The following is a 21,796-nucleotide window of genomic DNA, read 5'->3' on the forward strand; positions in this document are numbered from 1 at the left end:
AGAGAGAGAGAGAGAGAGAGGGAGAAATTTAAAAGTATTAAGTCACCCATCCTACCTGAGCACCCACGAGCTGCAGCAATGCTGAGTTCACAGGGAGGAGCTCAATGTCTGTATTGATAGTGGTCTGGTCAAATGGGCAAGCCTTGCGGTGGAGTTTATTCAGGCACATCTTGCAGACAGTATGGCCACAACCCAAACTGATGGGCTTTCGAATTGTTTCGTCGAAAGTCTGAGTGCAAATTGGGCAGGAGAGGAAATCCGTCCATTGTGGAGCTTGTACAGGCATTGCTTCTGGAGTTACAATTCACGAACACAAACACACACACAAATCTAAAGCAAAGATTCCACTGGAATCAAAATCTTTGAAAAAAAGTTTATCTTTTTTTTTTTTAAATATCTTCTGTAGATACAGTCAGCACATAGTGTGAAATATAACCTGAAAATAAAGAAAAAGGAAAAAAATTGAGTGTCTTTCTTTTCAATTAAACTGTTGAAAAAGAACCACAAGTCCAGTCTTATTCCACAACTTTTTATACCACATTTGTATCACTGTAATCCATCTTTTTACACTTTTACAGAATTAGAGCCATGATAGAACATCTATTTCCATTCCCTCATTTTAGAGATGGGAAGTAGTCCCCTGCCTAAGAGGAAACTTGAAGTTAATAATAAAGTTCCATCCAGGACCCTAGTCTCTTAAGTTTATCTAAGTCTTTTTTTTTTTTTTGAGACGGAATTTCGCTCCTGTTGCCCAGGCTGGAGTGCAATGGTGCAACCTCCGTCTCCTGGGTTCAAGCGATTGTCCTGCCTCAGCTTCCCAAGTAGCTGAGATTACAGGCATGCACCACCACACCTGACTAATTTTGTATTTTTAGTAGAGACGGGATTTCTCCATGTTGGTCAGGCTGGTCTTGAACTCCTGACCTCAGATGATCCTCCCGCCTTGGCATCCCAAAGTGCTGGGATTACAGGTGTGAGCCACCATGCCCAGCTAAATCTCTAATTTTTAAAAAATAAATATATCTAAAAAATAATCTTGGCTGGGTATGGTGGCTCACGCCTGTAATCCCAGCAATTTGGGAGGCCAAGGCAGGCAGATTCCTTGAGGTCAGGAGTTCGAGACCAGCCTGGCCAACATGGTGAAACCCCATGTCCACTAAAAATACAAAAATTAGCCAGGCGTGGTGGCAGGCGCCTGTAACCCCAGCTACTCAGGAGGCTGAGGCGGGAGAATCGCTTAAACCCGGGAGGCGGAGGTTGTGGTGAGCCAAGATCGCGCCATTGCACTCCACTCTGGGGAACAAGAGTGAAACTCCATCTCAGAAAAAAAAAAAAAAAAAAAAAAGCTTTGTTGGGGAAGGGGGTAGAGGGAGGGAAGAATTACTGAACAAGACATAAATAACTTTTGACAGCCAGGCGCGGTGTCTCAGGTTTGTAATCCCAGCGCTTTGGGAGGCTGAGGCGGGTGGGTCACTTGAGGTTGGGAGTTCAAGACCAGACTGGCCAACATGGTGAAACCCCGTCTCTACCAAAAATATAAAAAATTAGCCAGGTGTGGTGGTGCATGGCTGTAATCCCAGGAACTCGGGAAGCTGAGTAAGGAGAATTGCTTGAACCCAGGAGGTGGAGGTTGCGGTGAGCCGAGATCCGCCACTGTACTCCTGCCTGGGCGACACAGTGAGACTCCATCTCAAAACAAACAAACAAACAAAACTTTTGACAACATAAGAATATTTTAAAAGTAGAAACAATTTATATAAACATATGTTTCCTCTGTATTTATACCACAATCTTGACAGACTCATACAAATTTTTCAGGCTGGGTGTGATGGCTCATGCCTATAATTCCAGCACTTTCAGAGGCTGAGATGGGAAGACTGCTTGAGCCCAGGAGTTTGAGACCAGCCTAGGTAACATAGGGAGACCCTGTCTCTACAAAAATTAGCCAGGCGTGGTGGCATGCACCTGTGGTCCCAGCAACCCAGGAAGCTAAGGGCTAAGGTAGGAGGATCGCTTGAGCCCAGGAGTTTGAGGCTGCAGTGAGCTACGAACATGTGACTGCACTCCAGCCTGGGTGACAGAGCAAGACCCCATCTCAAAAAAAAAAAAAAAAAAGAAAAAAGAAACCTTATTCCATTCCCAGGAAAAATTTAATTTAGTTAAATGACAAAAAAATGTTTTATTGGTCTTTACTATGTGTTCAGTACTAACGATAAAAAAAAGATAAGTCATTCTAAGTCCACATGGAGCTTGCACTGTTTCTTTCACTAAACATATAAACAGCAATCACATAACTAAATATATAATTGCAAGTTATGGTAAGTGATATGTAGGTAAAGTACAGGGAGATACAAGCATATATAACAGAGGCAACCTGACCAAATTAGGGTGGAGCTGATGTACAGGTAAGTGATATTTATGGTAAGATTTTAAAGATGACTGCTGAACGAAAGTTAAGGGAAGAATAATGTTTAATATGTGTGGTATAGATTCTAGGTAAAGAAACAGCATAACCATAGATTCTGAGACTAGATAGAATATAGTAGAGATGAGGCCAGGCATGGTGGCCCACACCTGTAATCCCAGCACTTTGGGAGGACGAGACAGGTGGATCACCTGAGGTCAGGAGTTTGAGACCAGCCTGACCAACATGGAGAAACCCCGTCTCTACTAAAAACACAAAATTAGCCAGGCATGGGGGCACAATGCATGTAATCTCAGCTACTTGGGAGGCTGAGGCAGGAGAATGGTGTGAACCTGGGAGGCAGAACTTGAAGTGAGCCAAGATTGTGCCACTGCATTCCAGCCTGGGTGACAGAGCAAGACTCCATCTCAAAAAAAAAAAAAAAGAAAAAGAAAAAAAGAATTAGCAAGGACCAAAGAACACAGGATCTTCTAACTTATATGATGGTATTTGGTTACTATATGAAGAGTAGTGTAAAGCCACTGAAGGGGCAGGAGGTGACTCACTTTATTGTTTTCAATGTTCTCCTGTGATATTATTCTCACCAATCACACACAGTCCACTATGATCTCCTTCAAGGCTCAACTAGGAAGAGTAACAACTATATGTCTTTTCTCACTCTTGGGCCCTAAAGCACTCATATGCTGCTACACCAGCATGATGCTTACTTTAAGAAAACCTGATATGTAAAAATATGGAAAACAGATTGATTACAGTGATTGTCCATATTACAGAAAGATAATAAACTTTACCAAGGTATTTATAATAAGATTTAAAAGACCAGAAATCGATGCAATTGAAAAAATTGGGCTGGGTGTGGCGGCTCACGCCTGTAATCCCAGCACTTTGGGAGGTCGAGTTGGGCAAATCACCTGAGGTCAGGAGTTTGAGACCAGCCTGGCCAACATGGTGAAACCCTATCTCTACTAAAATTACAAAAATTAGCCAGGTGTGGTGATGGGCGCCTGTAATCCCAGCTACTCGGGAGGCTGAGGCAGTTGGACTGCTTGAACCCGGGAGGGGGAGGTTGCAGTGAGCCGAAATCACGCCGTTGCACTCTAGATAAACAGAGACATACCAGTGCTATGAAAATGTATGGAAAGAGACTCAAAATACATTAAGTAAAAAAAAAAGCCTTGAAGACCAATATATATGACATCATTTGTGCTGAGGGAAAAGAACCCTTACATATTAGTCTACGTATTAATATATGTAAATGAATGGAAGAAAAAGGTCTGAAAAGACACTCAACAAGCTGTAAGCAGACAGCAAGGTCTTCATGGACTATAGGAATTAATCAACTTGAACAATCAGCCTGTTTTATAGCCTCCTGCCTTGCAGCCTATTTTTGCCTAAACCCTGTGTAGAATGCAGTCACCTAGACAGCTGGAACCAGTTCCTCACAGACCCTGGCCACTCACAGATAAACCTGAGTGAACTTTCCTCGTTACCATGCTAAAGTCTCCATCCTGGGAGAAGCTATAGCTTCACTACCATAGCATGTGACCTACGTCCGGGCATAAAGACTCACTATATGTGCACCACTGGGACCCCTCCTCTACATGCAGTGACATACCCTCTCTTCCCTCTCCATCGCCCCATAAAACCCTCCTCTCACTTTCCCTCAGAGACCCACTGCTTTGGAGAATACTCCCAGTGCTCTCCTTACTTGTGACAAGTAATAAAACTTCCATTGATCAAAATCTGTGTTCTTGTGGAGTCATTTTTTACTTGAAAGGCAAAGGAATTCTGTTTTTTTTTTGGGTAACAAAACTTAACGGCACTGCCAGGCATGGTGGTTCACGCCTGTAACCCCAGCACTCTGGGAGGTGGAGACAGGTGGATCTCTTGAGCCCAGGAGTTTGAGACCAGCCTGAGCAATCAAGTGAGACCCCGTCTCTACAGAAATATAAAAAATTTAGCTGGACATGGGCACCTGTAGTCCCAGCTATATGGGAGGCTGAGGCAAGAGGATTGCCTGAGCCCAGGAGGTCGGAGCTGTAGTGAGTCATGTTTGCTCCACTGCACTCCAGCCTGGGCAACGGAGCGAGACCTGTCTAAAACAAAACAAGACAAAAAAACTTAATGGCAGTTACACAGTTGGGCAACTTACAAAAGTATGTAATCATGAATTACTTATATAAGTACAAATAAATTGAAAGAGTAACACAAAGCTAGAGTACACTTAGAGTACAATTTAAGCTTCTTAAGATAATCACTCTAAAACGATTCAAAACATTTGTCCTAATATTATTAATCTTCTTTTACACATTTAGATAGCCAAATATCAAAACTTATTAGTTCTTTTCAAAATTTAAGAACCTTAAAATAGTTTGTAACTTATCCCTTCAAAGAATTAGCATTCCTTTATTAATTTTGTTTATCACCTCCATCTCTATTAACTTTGTAAAGTAAGGTATGTAGTTGTTAATCTCTTAAATTTTCTAGTAAAATAGTTCTTTGACACAACTATAAACAACTTGATAGAATAAAAATACAAAAATCAGCAATCAGTTCTTCATTAAAAATAAAAGCATTATTTTGACCATAAATACAGGTTTGAGAGACCAAGGGGAAAATAATATTAAACCTTGACTTTTTCTGGGAAATTTGATGATTAATAACAGAAAGTCACTCTTAGATGACCCTATTTCAGGACTTAAAAAATCACAAGGCAAAGATTTTTTTGAGACTCAAAGTGTCAGTTAATTGTAGATCATAGATCTAAGAAGAATTTCCATTTCCTCATTCTTTAAGTATCTTTCTCTAAACGCATTCTTCCAAACATTCTCCAAGCTTCTCAAAGACAGTTTATATACTCTTCAACCACAACATGTATCTAAACCACAAAAGACATGATTTACTAAATACAATAAGCATTCTTTCAGTCAAAAGTAAACATATGAAATAAAATTATTAATATACCAACATCCAGATTTTTTGAACTTCCTCAGAAAAAGGTATGTCAGCAAACTAAAAAAGGGCCACAAAACAAAAACAGCTGTAAATAATTCTACTAATCAAAGCACATGCATTCAAGGCCTGCAGATAAACTGTTGGGGGTCAGGCCAAATCTAGTTCATTAGGAGTATTTCTATTGGAACCTTCCAATTGAAACAGAAGACAAATGATGAGCCCTCTTTATTTCCAAAAAGATTCAAAAGAGTGACACTGCTGCTCAAGTATGAAAGCAATGATTAGTTTCCCCACCAGTTTAAATAAGGACACCTCTCCTACAAAAATGACGAGATTTTACTGTTGATAATTGCTAATACAGAATATACATGATAATTAAATAGCAATCAGTTCAAGGGTCTGACCTAAGACCCAAGTTCAAAAATACCATATAATTTCCCCAATTATATATACACATTTTTACACCACTAAAGAGTGCTCACAGAAAACACTGAAAAGACTGCTTTATTCAGTTATATGCCTTGTTCATGGCATTGACTGAAGCTACAGTACAGAATATCACATCTGACATTTCACTATTAATTTATCCCAATGTCTAAATTCTGGTTAAGAACCACCACTTTCTTAAATCTCTAAACTTTTATCACTAATATTACCATTTGACTTTACTCAGGTTTTTTTTCTTAACAAAGAAATAAAGATCTTATTATCAAAATAAAAAAATTATTTCAGCTAGGTGCTGTGGTTCACGCCTGCAATCTCAGCACTTTTGGGTGGCTGAGGTGGGAGGATCACTTGAGACCAGGAGTTTGAGATCAACCTGGCCAAAAAGGCAAGACCTTGTCTCTATAAGCAAAATAAAAAATGAGCAGAGTGTGGTGGCACGTACTTGTAGTCCCAGCTACTCAGGAGGCTGAGGTGGGAGGTATGCTTGATCCCAGGAGTTCAAGGTTTCAGTGAGCTATGACCACACCACTGCACTGCAGCCTGGGCAACACAGAGAAACCCCATCTCTAAAAAAAAAAACTGTTGGGCGTGGTGGCTCACACCTGTAATCCCAGGACTTTGGGAGGCTGAGGTTGGCAGATCACCTGAGGTCAGGAGTTTGAGACCAGCTTGACCAACATAGAGAAACCCTGTCTCTACTAAAAATACAAAAATTAGCAGGCACATGCCTGTAATCCCAGCTACTCGCGAGGCCAAGGCAGGAGAATCACTTGAACCTGGGAGGCAGAGGTTGCGGTGAGCCGAGATCGTGCCATTGCACTCCAGCCTGGGCAATGAGAGCAAAACTCCACCAAAAAAAAAAAAAAGAGAGAGAGAGAAAGAAAGATATGAATTATAAACAACAAGGCTACTTGCTTGGGTCCACCAGCTAAGTAACTAGTTTGTAGATACCAAACTCCAAGTCTTACAGCTCCCTTAGCTGTTAAATTCAAATGTATGCCTCTGCAAAATAACAAATAACTACATATTGTGAGCATCGATGTTTAAGTATGATTAAAACATTGTCAATGAGCAACTACAGACAAAATTGTGATGACATGATGCATCTGGAAAGACGTAGAACAGCTTTGTTTTCTGAAAATCAATCATGTGTCAGTCACTGTGCTAGGTGTTTTCAGATGTTTCTCTTATTTAAATATCCACAATGTGGACTACCACCAATAACCAACATTTGTGAAGCAAAAACTAGGATATTATACTTTCAGTGCTCTATATACAGTATCTAATTAATGTTCACAGTAACACTGTAATGTAGTTATTATGCCCATTTTAAAGATAAGGAAACCAAAGTACCCAAGTCACAAAGCTAGAAAGTGGCACGACTAAGACTCAAACTCAGGACAGCCAAACTCCCAGGCTGGTACTTTGAAACTCTATAATTTGTGCCACCACACGAATAAAAGTTTATAGTAATTATGGCAAGGGAGCTCTTGGGAGTGACAGAAATGCCTTAAAATTGTATGGTAGTAATGGTTGCACAACTCTGTAAATTTACTAAAAATCATTTGTGTATTTAAAATAAGTGAATTCTATGGTATGTAAATTATACTTCAATAAAGCTGTTAAAATAGTCATTAAGGGCTTTTTAATAGTCTTAGTTTTCAAAAATGTTAAGTAATAATGTAGAAACATAGAAACTATTCGAATCTGTTCTATGAGCACAGCAATAGCCCTATTAAATAGCTAAATTACATTGCTGTGAAGATTTCATTTAAACATATGACACATTTATTACCATCTCCTTTATTATAGGTTCATTTTATATGTTCCTGATTTAGAGAGAGAAAAATGGAAATTAAAATTCAACTATCTACTCTGAGCCAGGCACTCCTCTGAGGCATTACTATGCCCATTTTACAGAAGATAACTTGAGGTTTGGCGGCATTAAGTAACGGCCCCAAATCAATAAACTGTTGAGCTGGGATTAACACCAGGTCTTACATATCTGAAATATAAGTTGGCCTGTGAAAAATGTTTTTATCAAACAAAACCACACTGTCTGTAAGAAGAAAATCTTGGCTCTCTTCCCACTATGCCCGATGAGATGAGATTTTAACTCATTATTCTTGACCTTAACTTAATTTTTCATTTCTCTGGAACATTTCCATAGCAACCAGCATGTAGGGCCACATCAGAGAAGAGAAAATGTTTCACTGCCTTGAAAAATGAAGCTAGAAGCAGGAGATAAAAACACAAAGAAGAAAACTAATGAAGGCCTATTATAACACTTAATTTTTTAATCCTCAGCAGAGCATCAACTAATTTACAGTGGAAATAGAGTCTAAAATTTGAGGCTCAAGGTTTTTCCAGCAATAATATCTTGTGAACAAAGACCCAGTTTTGATTGTAAAAATACATCTTCCCAAAATGTATGGACTGAATTGTAACCCTATATATACAAAATCCTGGATGTAAATAATTTAATATGATTATGTTAGTACAAATGGATAAATACTTGGGACAGGCATAAAGAGAAGGGCTTCTGAGTTAGAGGGAAAAAATAGCTTGAAAAATAGAACTTGATAAAGAAAGGTGGAGGAAAGTTCAAGGGGTTAATTCAGGTTGCTTACTTTTTCAGCGTTCAGAGGCAAAAAGAAAAATTTCTATCTCCAACCTAATACCAGATTGAGGAGAAGTAGTAAGAAAGGACAAAATCATTCATGGAGAAGCCGCCTGACCTGAGTTTGAAACAGAGTGCCTGAGAAAGTAAGACAGTCTTTAACTTTACGTATGTAGTTTGAATCTCCAGGTTCAAGTTATGCATTATATACAAATGTGCTACACTAAAGAGGGCATTAGCCCTCATTAATTATCAAAGAGGTGGCAGAATGATGTGACCAGACTCAAAGGCATCATCTTTTTTTGTTTTTGTGTTTTTGACACAGATTCTCATTCTGTTGCCCAGGCTGGAGTACAGTGGCACGATTTTGGCTCACTGCAACCTCCACCTCCTAGGTTCAAGCCATTCTCATGCAGAGTAGCTGGGATTACAGATGTGCAACACCATGCCTGGCTAATTTTTGCATTTTTAGTAGAGATGGGGTTTCACCACGTAGGCCAGGTCTCAAACTCCTGGTCTCAAGTGATCAGCCTCAGCCTCCCAAAGTGCAGGGATTATATAGGCATGAGCCACCACGCCCAGCCAAAAGCACCATCTTTAAAGGTAGTAGAAAGGAAAATTTACCGATTAAGCAAAAAAGCAAAATGTTTTAATTTTTTCAGTTTTTGCATTAACACTCTGTTGAATATTACATATACTATACTATCAAGTAAATAAATTTATAATCACCAATTTAGTGTTAGTACAAACACTAAGGATGTAATAAAAACTGGTTACTAAGATCAGGAGTATTTTTAGTATACATTGAGCATTCCAGTTTACTCATTACCCTCAAAAAATTTTACAAAATTGTTTGCTTTATTATCTTAACTGCTTTTAAATTAATCATAAATTTCTGAAACTGTTTTTTTGTTGGGGGCGGGGGAGGTAAAAGTTGACATCTCCTTCTTAATCAAGCTTCTTTTCTAAATCAGAAAGATATTTCAATCCCAAAATGAAAGATTCATGTATACATTTTGAAGATGAGGCCAAATATTTTAACAAGACTAAACAGTTTTCCAGGTCATCTTTTGAAATCAGTCCTCTTGCTGCAATAATGGTTCATTTTTATAAAGGAAGTTTACTCCTCTTGTCCAGTTATTTTGAGACACACAAATCTGACTGGCAAATAATCATGTGGGATGCAGGGACAAATAATCACAATGGAAAGAAAATCTAACCTGTGCCTGATAAATTTATGTTTCAGGTTGTTAAATACTATCCTATAGAATCCTCAGGAATATGATGAAATTAAGACATTTTAGAGGGTGGCACTAATATTCTGTTTCTTCAACTTGTCCTTCATTATTAGTTCTTTCCCCACTGGCATGCTTAAATCTTTGTTCAGGAGCTGAAAGAAATTTGTCTCCAACTTGTCTCATCTAAAAAAGTCATTCAATCCTTGTCCCTGTTTCCATCCACCACTATTGTGGAATAATTCTTAACAAGCACATTAAGAACCTTATGAAATTCAAGAGTCATATCTCAATTCTTATTTTACTTCTTTCTATATAGCATTTAATAATATTAAAGTTACTCCTACAAAAGCTGCCCTTTTCTAGGTTCTATACAACATACTGTCCAATGATTGGCAAGCCACTCCTTGCCCATATCTATTGAGGGCTTCTTCTTCTCTATTCATCCTTGGAATAGTGTTGGTTCTTAGAATTCCTTCCCCAGTTCTCTTCCCTAGAAAGTTTCCCTGAGTAATTTCATCTGTTTTTATGTTTTCAACTACCAACTAGATCCTGCTGACTTCCAAATCTCTCTCTCAAGTTCAGACTTCTCTTCTGAGTGCCAGGGCCATATAACCAGTTGACTACTAAGTCATCCATGTTCATCTCCTCCCCACCAAACCTTTTGTTCTCTTTGTCAGTGACTGAGTGACATACCAATTACTGTGATAAAAGCATGGGGAACTGCCAGGCGTGGTGGCTTATGCCTGTAATCCCAACACTTTGGGAGGCTGAAGTGGAGGATTACCTGAGGTCAGGAGTTCGAGACCAGCCTGGCCAACGTGGTGAAACCCCGTCTCTACTAAAAATGCAAAAATTAGCCAGACATGGTGGTGGGCGCTTGTAATCCCAGCTACTCAGGAAGCTGAGGCAGGAGAATTCCTTGAACCCAGGAGGTGGAAGTTGCAGTGAGCCGAGATTGAGCCACTGCACTCCAGCCTGGGCAACAAGAGCAAGACTCCTATCACACACACACACACACACACACACACACACACACGTACGGGGAATCATCCTTGACTACTCTCTTTTCTCACACCCCTACCCATCAACTCATCAATCGCCATGTACATATTATTTCTTTAATGTTTCTTAAAACCTTCTTATCCATTCCCAATACCAACATCTCTGACCTGGATCACTGTGACAATTTCTTAACTGGTATCCCTGGTAACAAACATCCCTAATACAGCAAAGCTAGGCTATAATAACTAGACTGTAAGTTCCTGAAAAATCAGAGAATTTTTTTTTTTTTTTTGAGACGGAGTCTCTCTGTGTCCCCTAGGCTGGAGTGTAGTGGCACAATCTCAGCTCACTGCAAGCTCCACCTCGCGGGTTTCACGCCATTCTCCTGCCTCTGCCTCCCAAGTAGCTGGGTCTACAGGCGCCCGCCACCACGCCCTACTAATTTTTTGTATTTTTAGTAGAGACGGGGTTTCACCGTGTTAGCCAGGATGGTCTTGATCTCCTGACCTTGTGATCCGCCCACCTCGGCCTCCCAAAGTGCTGAGATTACAGGCATAAGCCACTGCGCCCGGCAATTCCCCATGCTTTTATCACAGTAACTGGTATGTCACTCAGTCACTGAAGTTTTTTTAATCTTTCTTTTAAAATTATTTTATATATATGATATATTATTATATATCATATATAATTATATATTATTAATTATATATTATTTATTTTTATTTTTATTATTTTTTGAGACAGGGTCTTGCTCTGTCATCCAGACTGGAGTCAGCAGCACAATCACTGCTCACTACAGCCTCAAGTCTCACCCTTCTGGGCTTAAGTGATCCTCTTACCTCAGCCTCCCAAGTAGCCAGGACTATAGGTGTGCACCAACACACCTGGTTAGTTTTTTAAAAATTTTTAGTAGAAATGAGATCTCACAATGTTGCCCAGGCTAGTCTCAAACTCCTGGGCTCAAGTGTTCTCCCATCTCAGCCTCCAAAATTGTTGAAGTTACAGGCGTGAGCCACTGTGCCTGGCCCTATTTTCTCTATGGTTTTAATACACAAATACGTATGTTATCCTATATAGGTTAGCAAATCAATCAAGCTGGAGTATTTATGTGTTCTCTAAGAGAATGTCACTTGGCAGGGCCAGGGGCAGTGGCTCATGCCTATAATCCAGGCACTCCAGGAGGCCAAGGCAGGTGGATCACCTGAGGTCAGGGGTTCGAGACCAGCCTGACCAACATGGTGGAACCCCATCTCTACTAAAAATACAAAAAAAAAAAAAAAAATTAGCTGGGCATAGTGGCAGGTGCCTGTAATCCCAGCTACTAGGGAGGCTGAGGCAGGAGAATTGCTTGAACCCAGGAGGCGGAAGTTGCAGTGAGCCAAGATCACAAAAGAGAGAAAAGAAAAAAGTCTATCGGGCTAATGGGAAGCTGCCAGGGAAGATAGGGTCTTACCATTCAGAGTAACATGCAAAGGCCCTAGGTTTCTTCCCCAACAGTTTCCCACTAGCCCAAAAGCTTTTTTTTAGAGGGGGGTGGGCAGGGGGACAGGAGTCAGTTGACTTTCTATTAGAGAATACGTGAATACTCCAGCTTGATGGATTTGCTAACATATATAGGACAGCTTCCTAAGTATTAAAAACCATAGAGAAAATAGTGACATGGGGTTTATTTCCCCCATCCTTCAACCTGGGTGGCCCTGACTTACTTTCAACAGTTGCATGCAACAGAAGTGATGCTGGGAGAGTTTCAGAGCCTAGGTCTCAAGAGACTTTGCAGGAAGCTTGAACTAGCTTGTCTGAGGACAAGAGTACATGAAACAAAGAAGAGCTGTTTTATAATAGCTCAGATCCCTAAAACCAGTCCTAATTTGAGCTGTCAGATGATTGTAGCTACACAAGTGGCCTCAGGGGAGACTAGCAGAACTACCAAACTAAACTCAGTCCAAATTGCTGACTCACAGAATTGTAAGCGAATAAAACGGTTGTTTTAAGCAGCTAAATTTTAGAGTGGTTTGTTATTTAATAATAGATTATCTGGTGATTATATAATTAAGATAGTTTTACATATATAAATTTCATTATAGTCTTTTGAGAAAACATATAATATTGATGTAGGAATTTGAAAGATTGTCTCAATTGAATCATAACCTTTTTGACAGAACATATTTATCTTTTTTTAGGCTCTAAAAATCACAAAGATACTGACGGACCTTCACAAACACAACATGCCTAAATTTGGCTCCTCAATCCTGCATCATAAATTATCAGTAACAGAAAAGCAAAAGGATACATTTTCAAAGCACAACATGGGCAATGAACCCCTCTTGACTTAAAAATATTTACCATTTGTGCTTAATTTAAACCTATCTAAAATGTATCATAATCCAGCTCAACATACTTAAGCTGTGATCCATGCAACAGTCCTCTATGTTGATGAGCCAAAGTAGCATTACTAACTCTTAATACTGATAATGTTTCATGTGTTTCCAAGTTAGATGTTGTTAGTCCTTACTGGTGACAATCTGAAGACCATTCCTGGCCGGGCGCGGTGGCTCATGCCTGTAATCCCAGCACTTTGGAAGGCCAAGGCAGGTGGATCACCTGAGGTCAGGAGTTCAAGACCAACCTGGCCAACATGACAAAACCCCGTCTCTACTAAAAATACAGTAAGTTAGCCAGACATGGTAGTGGGTGCCTGTAATCCCTGCTACTTGGGAGGCTGAGGCAGGAGAATTGCTTGAACCTAGGAGGTGGAGGTTGCAGTGACCTTAGATCACGCCACTGCACTCCAGCCTGGGAACAAGAGCGAAACTCCATCTCAAAATAAATAAATAAGTAAATAAATAAATAAAGACTGTTCTTTACCATCATTAGCTAAGGTTGGTCATCTTCAGCAAGTTATACTTTTTTACCTACCTACAACTATCTTCATATACTCCCCAAATATTTTCTCTATCTTGAAACTGTAGGAGGAAAAGAAGGGCGTTTGACTGCCAATCACTATCTCATTTAACCTTTCCAACAACCTTCTGACATAGATATTATTACCTCTACTTTACTGATGAAGGAAGGAAAGAAAACTCAGTTACTCAGCTAACTTAGTGATTTAGTCATAATTTGAACCCACATCTATCTGACTCCAAAACCTGTATTTTTTCCACTATAACACCATGCCTTCCAACTTTGAGCACTTGTAACTTTTTATTATACTTTTTAATAATCATTAGTCAGCCATAATTAAAGATATAAATTAAATGATGCCTGTTTTGGGTTTAATCTGAGCATGACTGGTTTTAAGTAGGAACTCTGGAACTGTTTAAACCTACTTGTTTATTAAAAAGAAAAAATTAGGTTGTAGCAGCAACTACTGTATTCCTTTTGAACAGAACCAAAAGGATAACTCTGTCTTGAAGATTTTATTAAAATATTTCACTGAGAAATGAGAAGGGAACTAAAATAAAATGAATCATATATCTTAAGACGCCTTACTGATATTTTAAGATGAAGTATAACATACATACAGATCAAGAGTGTTCAGTTCAACGAATTATCACAAAGTGAGCATACCTGCATACTTAAGACATACATTATCAGCATCTCAAAAGGCCCCCCCTCACTATCCCTCCCAATGATTACTCCTTTATTCTTCCCCAAATATCACTACTATCCCAACTCCTAACACAATAGGTTAGTTTTGCCCGGTTTAAAATTCTATATAACAGGCCAGGCGCAGTGGCTCACGCCTGTAATCCCAGCACTTTGGGAGGCCAAGGCAGGCAGATCACGAGGTCAGGAAATTGAGACCATCCTGGCTAACACGGGGAAACACCATCTCTACTAAAAATACAAAAAAATTAGCCGGGCGTGGTGGCGGGCGCCTGTAGTCCCAGCTACTCGGGAGGCTGAGGCAGGAGAATGGCGTGAACCCGGGAGGCGGAGCTTGCAGTGAGCCGAGATCACTCCACTGCACTCCAGCCTGGGCGACAGAGCGAGACTCCATCTCAAAAAAAAAAAAAATCTATATAACGGAATCATCAGTATGTATTCTTTTGTACTTGGCTTCTTTCATGCAATGTTTTGTTGTTGTTGTTATTTGAGTCAGGGTCTTGCTTTATCACCGAGGCTGGAGTGCAGTGGCATGATCATGGCTCACTGCAGCCTCAAACCCCTGGGTTCAAACGACCCTCCCACCTCAGCCTCCTGAGGAGCTGGGACTATGAGCATGGGCCACCATGCCGGGCAACTTTTTACAATTTTTGTAGACATGGGCTATATTGCCCAGGCTGGTCTTAAACTCCTGACCTCAAGTGATCCTCCTACCTCAGCCTCCCAGATCAGTAGGATGTCAGGTGTGAGCCACCGCGTCCGGCCCACACAACATTATTTTTGTTAGATTTTTTTTCCCAGCATTTACTACATTTTAAACTGTTACAAAGCACTCCAGTTAAAATGATCACAGTTAGGAAGCTACCCTTTGTGAACTTATTTTTGGAGCAATGATGACTTGTAGATTTTGAATGCAGCAGATTTCTCATGTTGAACTGGAAGGAACAAAAATGAGTGTCAATAAAAAAAGTAGACAAAAATCTCCTCTTTACTCAAGAAAACAGTGTATGCATCACACAGCATATGTGTCACACACTAATAGTCTCCTATTACTTGCTTCTATTTCTTTTTCCCTATGATCCTGTGCTTTAGACTTCCTTGTGGCATTTGGTGGCTGCCATCATGTTCTGACTAATTCTAGAAACATGTAGATGTATTCACAACAGGTACATATCTAATTATATATTCTGACCTAGAAATTTTATTTGCATTAAAAACCTAGTATATTTAATAATAGCAATAACATCAATATTTTTAAAATGTATTTCCCCATAATCTCTTAGGTCTTAAGGACATTTCATTACTTTGTTTTGTTTTGAAATATGCCTCCTAGAATTCAAACTATTTCCAGAAAACAATGTCACAGAGACTTTTAATTGCAGATACTTGAAAAACAGTGCTTAGAAAAGAAGAAAGAAGGAAGCAGAAGCAGCAGCAGAGGAAGAAGCAGAAGAGGGGAAGGGAGGAGGAGGGAGAAGGAGGAAGAGGAGGAGCTGATTCATTTTCCATTTTAGAATTATTTCTCAACTACTATTGCAAGCAAAATTCCATTTTGAAGGGTTTAAAAGAACGAAAAAATTGCTACATGAACTCCAAACACAGAATCCTATAGCCACAATGTATCTTGTTTATACTGTATTATTATTTTATCTTTATATAAAGCGGTTTGAAACAGAAATTAAATTGTAAAAGGGGATGTTCTGGCCAGGTGTGGTGACTCACACCTGTAATCCCAGCACTCTGGGAGGCCAAGGCCAGCAGATCACCTGAGGTCAGGAGTTTGAGACCAGCCTGACCAACATGGCGAAACGCCATCTCTACTAAATACACAAAAATTAGCCAGGCGTGGTGGCGGGCACCGGTAATCCCAGCTACTTGGGAGGCTGAGGCAGGAGAATCACTCAAACCCAGGAGGCGGAGGTTGCAGTGAGCCAAGATCGTACCACTGCACTCCAGCCTAGGCAACAGAGTGAGACTTTGTCTGAAAAAAAAAAAAAAAAAAAAAAGAGATGTTTTGCTGATTCCCAAGTAGCTGCTAATGTTAGAGAACCTACTGACTGGCTGCTGCTGTATCAGAATCAAATATGACACTTCCTCCAAAATATGTAATGATGATCTTTCAGGGATTAAATTCACGCTTAGGTTTGTATAGTGTGCATGTTATAGGGAAGAGGAAATGAAAGGTTGAGATAAGTCTAACCACTGTGGATTGCACAATAAACAGATAAGTCTATTTATTGCTTGGTAAAAACAGGGACCCTGGTTAAGAACATAGTTTGTCCTACTCTTCCTCCAACCCTGAACCTTCTCCCCACTTCTGTATAGGCATTAATATATGAATTCCTTCAGAGAAGGCCTTCCCTGATCACCTTATTTCAAATAGATGCCCCAATCTCAATCCCTCCCCAGCCCTCTGCTATCCAACCACATGTTAAACTGCATGCTTCCCATCTCTTTCCTGATTAATTTTTCTCAATAATACTTCTCATCCAACATCTGTGTTTCATATTTATTTTGTTACAGTGTATACCCATCGATACTGAAATATTAGCTCCTTAAAAGTGGGCCAGGCATGGTGGCTCATGTCTGTAATCCCGGCATTTTGGGAGGCCAAGGTGGGCAGATCACTTGAGGTTAGGAGTTCAAGACCAGCCCGGCCAACATGGTGAACCCGTCACTACCAAAAACACAAAAAATTAGCTGGGTATGGTGGCACGCGTCTGTAGTCTCAGCTACTTGGAAGGCTGAGGCACGAGAATCACTTGAACCCGGGAGGCAGAGGTTGCAGTGAGCCGAGATCGTGCCACTGCACTATAGCCTGGGCCACAGAGCAAGACTCAGTCTCAAAAACAAACAGATTTTTGTTTCTATCTTTAACTATTTTTGAGTACACTCTATGTGCCAGGAAGTCTTTTATGCGGATCACATGCAAACACTTCGTCCTCGCAATGAGCCTATTTGGTCTCATTATTAATTTTAGGGCCAAGAACACTGTAACAGAGATGTTAGGTAATATGATGGTCACTTGGCAACTAAATTTATTCTTATTTTTGAGCTGGTGATTCCTTCTGTAATCTTTCTTTAGTGATACCACTAGACAATGCACATTTCTGGTAATCATGCCTGATGTCCTCACTTTTATCTTCCATTAAAAAAAAAATCTTCCATAAATATACATACCTACTGTGTACCCACAAAAATTAAAAATAAGTAAAATGATAATAATAAATTACCTCTTGTATCTATAATTTCCTTTTCATCTCCACTTTCTTGATTGAGGCCCTTAGTCATTCATTCAAAAACTACTTATTGAGCATCTACTACGTGCCAGTGTCCCAGAAACTGATATAGTCCTGAATGAAATAAAGTCCTTGCTCTCATACAGAATACAGTCTTATCACCTAGATCACAAAGCAACCTTTTTTCTTTTTTTAATTTTTGAGACAAGGTCTCACTCTGTCACCCAGGCTAGAATGCAGTAGCATGATCAGAGCTCACTGCAGCCTCGACCTCCCAGGCTCAAGCAATCCTCCCACCTCAGTCTCCCCAGTAGCTGGACTACAGGCATGCGCCATCATGCCTGGCTGTTTTTTTAATTTTTTTTATAGACGAGGTCTCACAATATTGCCCAGGCTGGTTGCAAACTCCTAGACTCAAGCGATCCTCCTGCCTCGGCCTCCCAGTGAGCCATCACACCTGACCACACAGCAACGGTTTAACTGATCTCTGTCCTCAGGATAGTTCTTGCCTTCCTCTACCTTCCTCACAGCTGATAGTCACTTACCTACATCAAATTCTTCCATGACAACTCAATTTTTAAAAAGGATGATACACTTGAACAGAAAAGGATATTCAAATGGCAATAAGCATATAGTATGTTCACTGAGGAGTGATTACTCATGAGGGGAAGAAGGTACTTAAAGCTTTTCATCTTAAAACTCTGGGTACAATGGATTAATTAATGAATGTCAATCATGGGGGAATAGGTGCTACCACTTCACTATTTATGGATGCCTTTGTAAGAATATTATCTGTACTAGCCTTATGATATTCTAATTACTCATATGCATTTAAAGATTTACCATCCTATTTTCTATTCTAAGAATTTTCTTACTTCGAAATCCATCAAATTCTATTTTATAGTGATAGAATAAACTGGAAGAGTCTTTTGTGCCCTCATGAACAGGTTTTCATCAACCACAGACCTACAAAATAAGAAGACATTTCTGAAAAAACTAACTCAGATAATGAATAAATCCAAAGAATCCATAACTCAATTAAAAAAAAAACACTATATGAAGAGTCTTACATTTACTTTTTAAAGTTTTTGATAAACTTAATGAGAGGCTAGATTCAAGCAAAGAAGATTGACAGTTTTAACTAAAACCATTCAAAAACTGCTATCAATGGGGTAATTAATGTAAAAATTGACATATAAAATATGGGTTTTAAAAGTAGTAATTACAGGGAAAGCATTTCTAAATGAAAGCTGAAATCCAGGTTTTTTTTTTTCAAGTACAGTACTTGAATGTGGAAGACTACTACTTTTTAAGAGTCTCCACAAAAATGGACTTTTGAGCCAGTGTAACCAGTATACAGAAAAGTCAAATCAAGACCATAAGCAGTACGATTATTTTTAGTCAAGGACTAAGCACAGAGGGACAGCTTACCTCAAAAGAAAATCAAGAGACTGATATGAGGACCTCCATTTTTCAAGCTGTGAAAATTTTTAACATGATGAGTTTAGGAAGATGCAAGTTCATATAGTAACCAATTTGGGTTCTACAGATCAAAGTGTAGTTTGAATAGAATCCAAAGGTAAATTATGGCCAATAAAGGATTTAGGATGCCAATAATGTTCAGTTTAATTATATTCACCTTTAACAACCAATTCGTATTAGCATTGAAAATTAGTTTTTGTCATCTAAAATGGGTCACAGCCAGGCACGGTGGCTCATGACTAATCCCAGCAGTTTGGGAGACTGAGGCAGATAGATAGCTTGAGCCGAGAAGTTCGAGACCAGCCTGGGCAACACGGCAAGACGCCGTCTCTACAAAAAATACAAAAATTAGCAGGGTGTGCTGGCACGCACCTGTAGTCCCAGCTACCAGGTGGGGATGAGGTGGCAGGGGTGGCCTGAGGTGAGTGGATCACTTGAGCCTGGGAGGTCAAGGCTGCAGTGAGCCCTGATCCCTCTACTGCACTCTAGCCTGGGCAACAGAGTGAGACTCTGTCTCAAAAAAAAAAATAGGTAACATATGAAGGGACAAATATTTTTGCATCGAGAGAATCAGCTATTTAGCTGATTAGGATAAATTTCCTCATTTTAGTTTCTAATTGTTTAAAGAATTATAAATAATATGTTTATGAAATCTATAGCTATAGCTTCTATAGATTTAACTTATAAAGATATTTTAAATCACATAATACATAATCAGTCTCCAATACCCTCTTCAAAATAACTTCTAAAAGTAGCCCCAAATAGTGGTGATCCCAAGAAAGAACTAGAGCCGGGCACAGTGGCTCACACCTGTAATCCCAGCACTTTGGGAGGCCGGGGCAGGCGGATCATGAGGTCAGGAGATCGAGACCATCCTGGCTAACATGATGAAACACTGTCTCTACTAAAACTACAAAAAAATTAGCCGGGTGTGGTGGCGGGCGCCTGTAGTCCCAGCTACTCGGGAGGCTGAGGCAGGAGAATGGCGTGGACCCAGGAGGCAGAGCTTGCAGTGAGCCAAGATCACGCGACTGCACTCCAGCCTGGGCGACAAGAGTGAGACTCTGTCTCAAAAAAAAAAAAAGAAAAGAAAAGAAAAGAAAGAACTAGAATAAGGAGATCTAGATTCTAATACCAACTCTGCCATTTATTAGTGCTGAGATCTGCACACCTCTGCTAAATATTCAAAAGGTTTAGAGGAAAATAAAAAACAAAAAGATGATTCCAGAGTTTAAGGACAAAAAGGATCAGACTATTATAGAATGCTGCAACATAAATTCTTTAAAAAAAGAAGGATCAAAAACAAAATAAAATTTTAGAAAATTAAAAAAAAGAAGAGCAGACTAAAAAGAGATGATGCTGTGATGGAAAACCTAGGAAACCATACTATAATGGACAACATTTGAAAATAATGGTTCTTTGGGGGAGTAAAGGATTTTAAATAACCAATTGAGGGTTGCTGATAGTACAAGCAACAAAACAAAATAGATAATGCATTGAAAATGTAGGCTTGAGGAAAAACTGAGATCATATAAACAGGAAAGTTCTCCATGAGAGTGAATGGAAGTGGAGAATTGAACCTTGGGGGAATCATATATATCAGTGCTTTCCAATATGGTAGCCACTAGGTACATGTGGCTATTGAGCCCTTGAAATGTGCTGGTGAGACGGAGGAATTAAATTTTAAATAAAATTTAAATGTATCCATACAATGGAATATTATTATTATTATATATATATATTTTTTGAGACACGGTCTCACTCTGTCGCCAGGCTGGAGTGTAGTGGCGCGATCTCAGCTCACTGCAACCTCCGCCGCCTGGGTTCAAGCGATTCTCCTGCCTCAGCCTCCCAAGCAGCTGGGACTATAGGTTCACACCACCACGTGTGGCTAATTTTTGTATTTTTAGTAGAGACAGGGTTTCACCATGTTGGCCAGTATGGTCTTGATCGCCTGACCTCGTGATCCTTGGCCTCCCAAAGTGCTGGGATTACAGGCGTGAGCCACCATGCTCAGCCACAATGGAATATTATTAAGCAGTAAAATAAATAAACTGTGAAGCCATGAAAAGACATGAAGAGGGCCAGGCACAGTGGCTCACGCCTATAATCCCAGCACTTTTGGGAGGCCAAGGCAGGAGCACTGCCTGAGCCCAGGAGTTCAAGACCAATCTCTATTTTAAACAAAAACAAAAGAAGAAGATACTGACGAAGAGACCTAAATGCATATTGTTAAGTGAAGATGCCAGTCTGAAAGGACTATATACTATGATTCCAACCACATGACATTCTGGAAAGGTAAAACTATGACTGTAAAAAGATCAGTGGTAGCCAGAGGTTCAGAGGGATGAGGCAGAGATGAGTAAGTGGAACATGGGACATTTTTAGGTCAATGAAACCATTCTGCACGATTCTAGAATAGTGGATGTATAATGTTATGCATTTGGCAAAACCCATAGAACTGTCCAACACAAAGGGTGAATCCTAATGTGAACTATGGACTTTAGTTAATAATGTATCAACACTGGTTCCTCAGTGATAACCAACACACCACACTAATGCAAGATACTAACAGAGGAAACCGTGGGGGACAGTATAAATGGGAACTGTGTATTTTTTTGAGCAATTTTTCTGTAAATCCAAAACTGTTCTAAAAAAAAAAATCTTTCAAAAAACTCAAATTTACATAGCCACATATAGTTAGTGGCCAGTATTGAACAGCATAGGCCCATATAAATAGACTGATGTGGGAAGAAAATGAGAATGGCATATGAAGAATTAC

General features: G+C 39.7%; 1 protein-coding gene across 20 annotated transcripts in view, besides 1 other annotated feature; it reads right to left on the minus strand.

Annotated features, from left to right (window-relative positions):
* RC3H1 (ring finger and CCCH-type domains 1) overlaps nucleotides 1-21,796 on the minus strand; it is a 91,274-nt gene that overhangs the window by 61,616 nt on the left and 7,862 nt on the right. For 17 of the 20 annotated variants that reach the window (XM_047447096.1, XM_047447104.1, XM_047447095.1 and 14 more), the window contains exon 2: nucleotides 56-436. In XM_047447096.1, coding sequence (XP_047303052.1) covers nucleotides 56-286 — 231 coding nt within the window. In that variant the 5' untranslated portion in view covers nucleotides 287-436. Of the gene's footprint in view, nucleotides 1-55; nucleotides 437-21,796 lie in introns of those variants that run through there. The other 3 variants (NM_001300852.1, NM_001300851.1, NM_001300850.1) reach the window with 1 other exon arrangement.
* Nucleotides 10,238-10,438: a silencer, noted in NCBI's record as "peak465 fragment used in MPRA reporter construct". NCBI's record gives its function as "represses an SCP1 promoter by STARR-seq MPRAs in K562 erythroleukemia cells {active_cell/tissue: K562}" and the evidence as "EXISTENCE:reporter gene assay evidence [ECO:0000049][PMID:32103011]".

Source organism: Homo sapiens, chromosome 1 (genome assembly GCF_000001405.40).
Source record: "Homo sapiens chromosome 1, GRCh38.p14 Primary Assembly".
Lineage (NCBI taxonomy): Eukaryota > Metazoa > Chordata > Mammalia > Primates > Hominidae > Homo > Homo sapiens.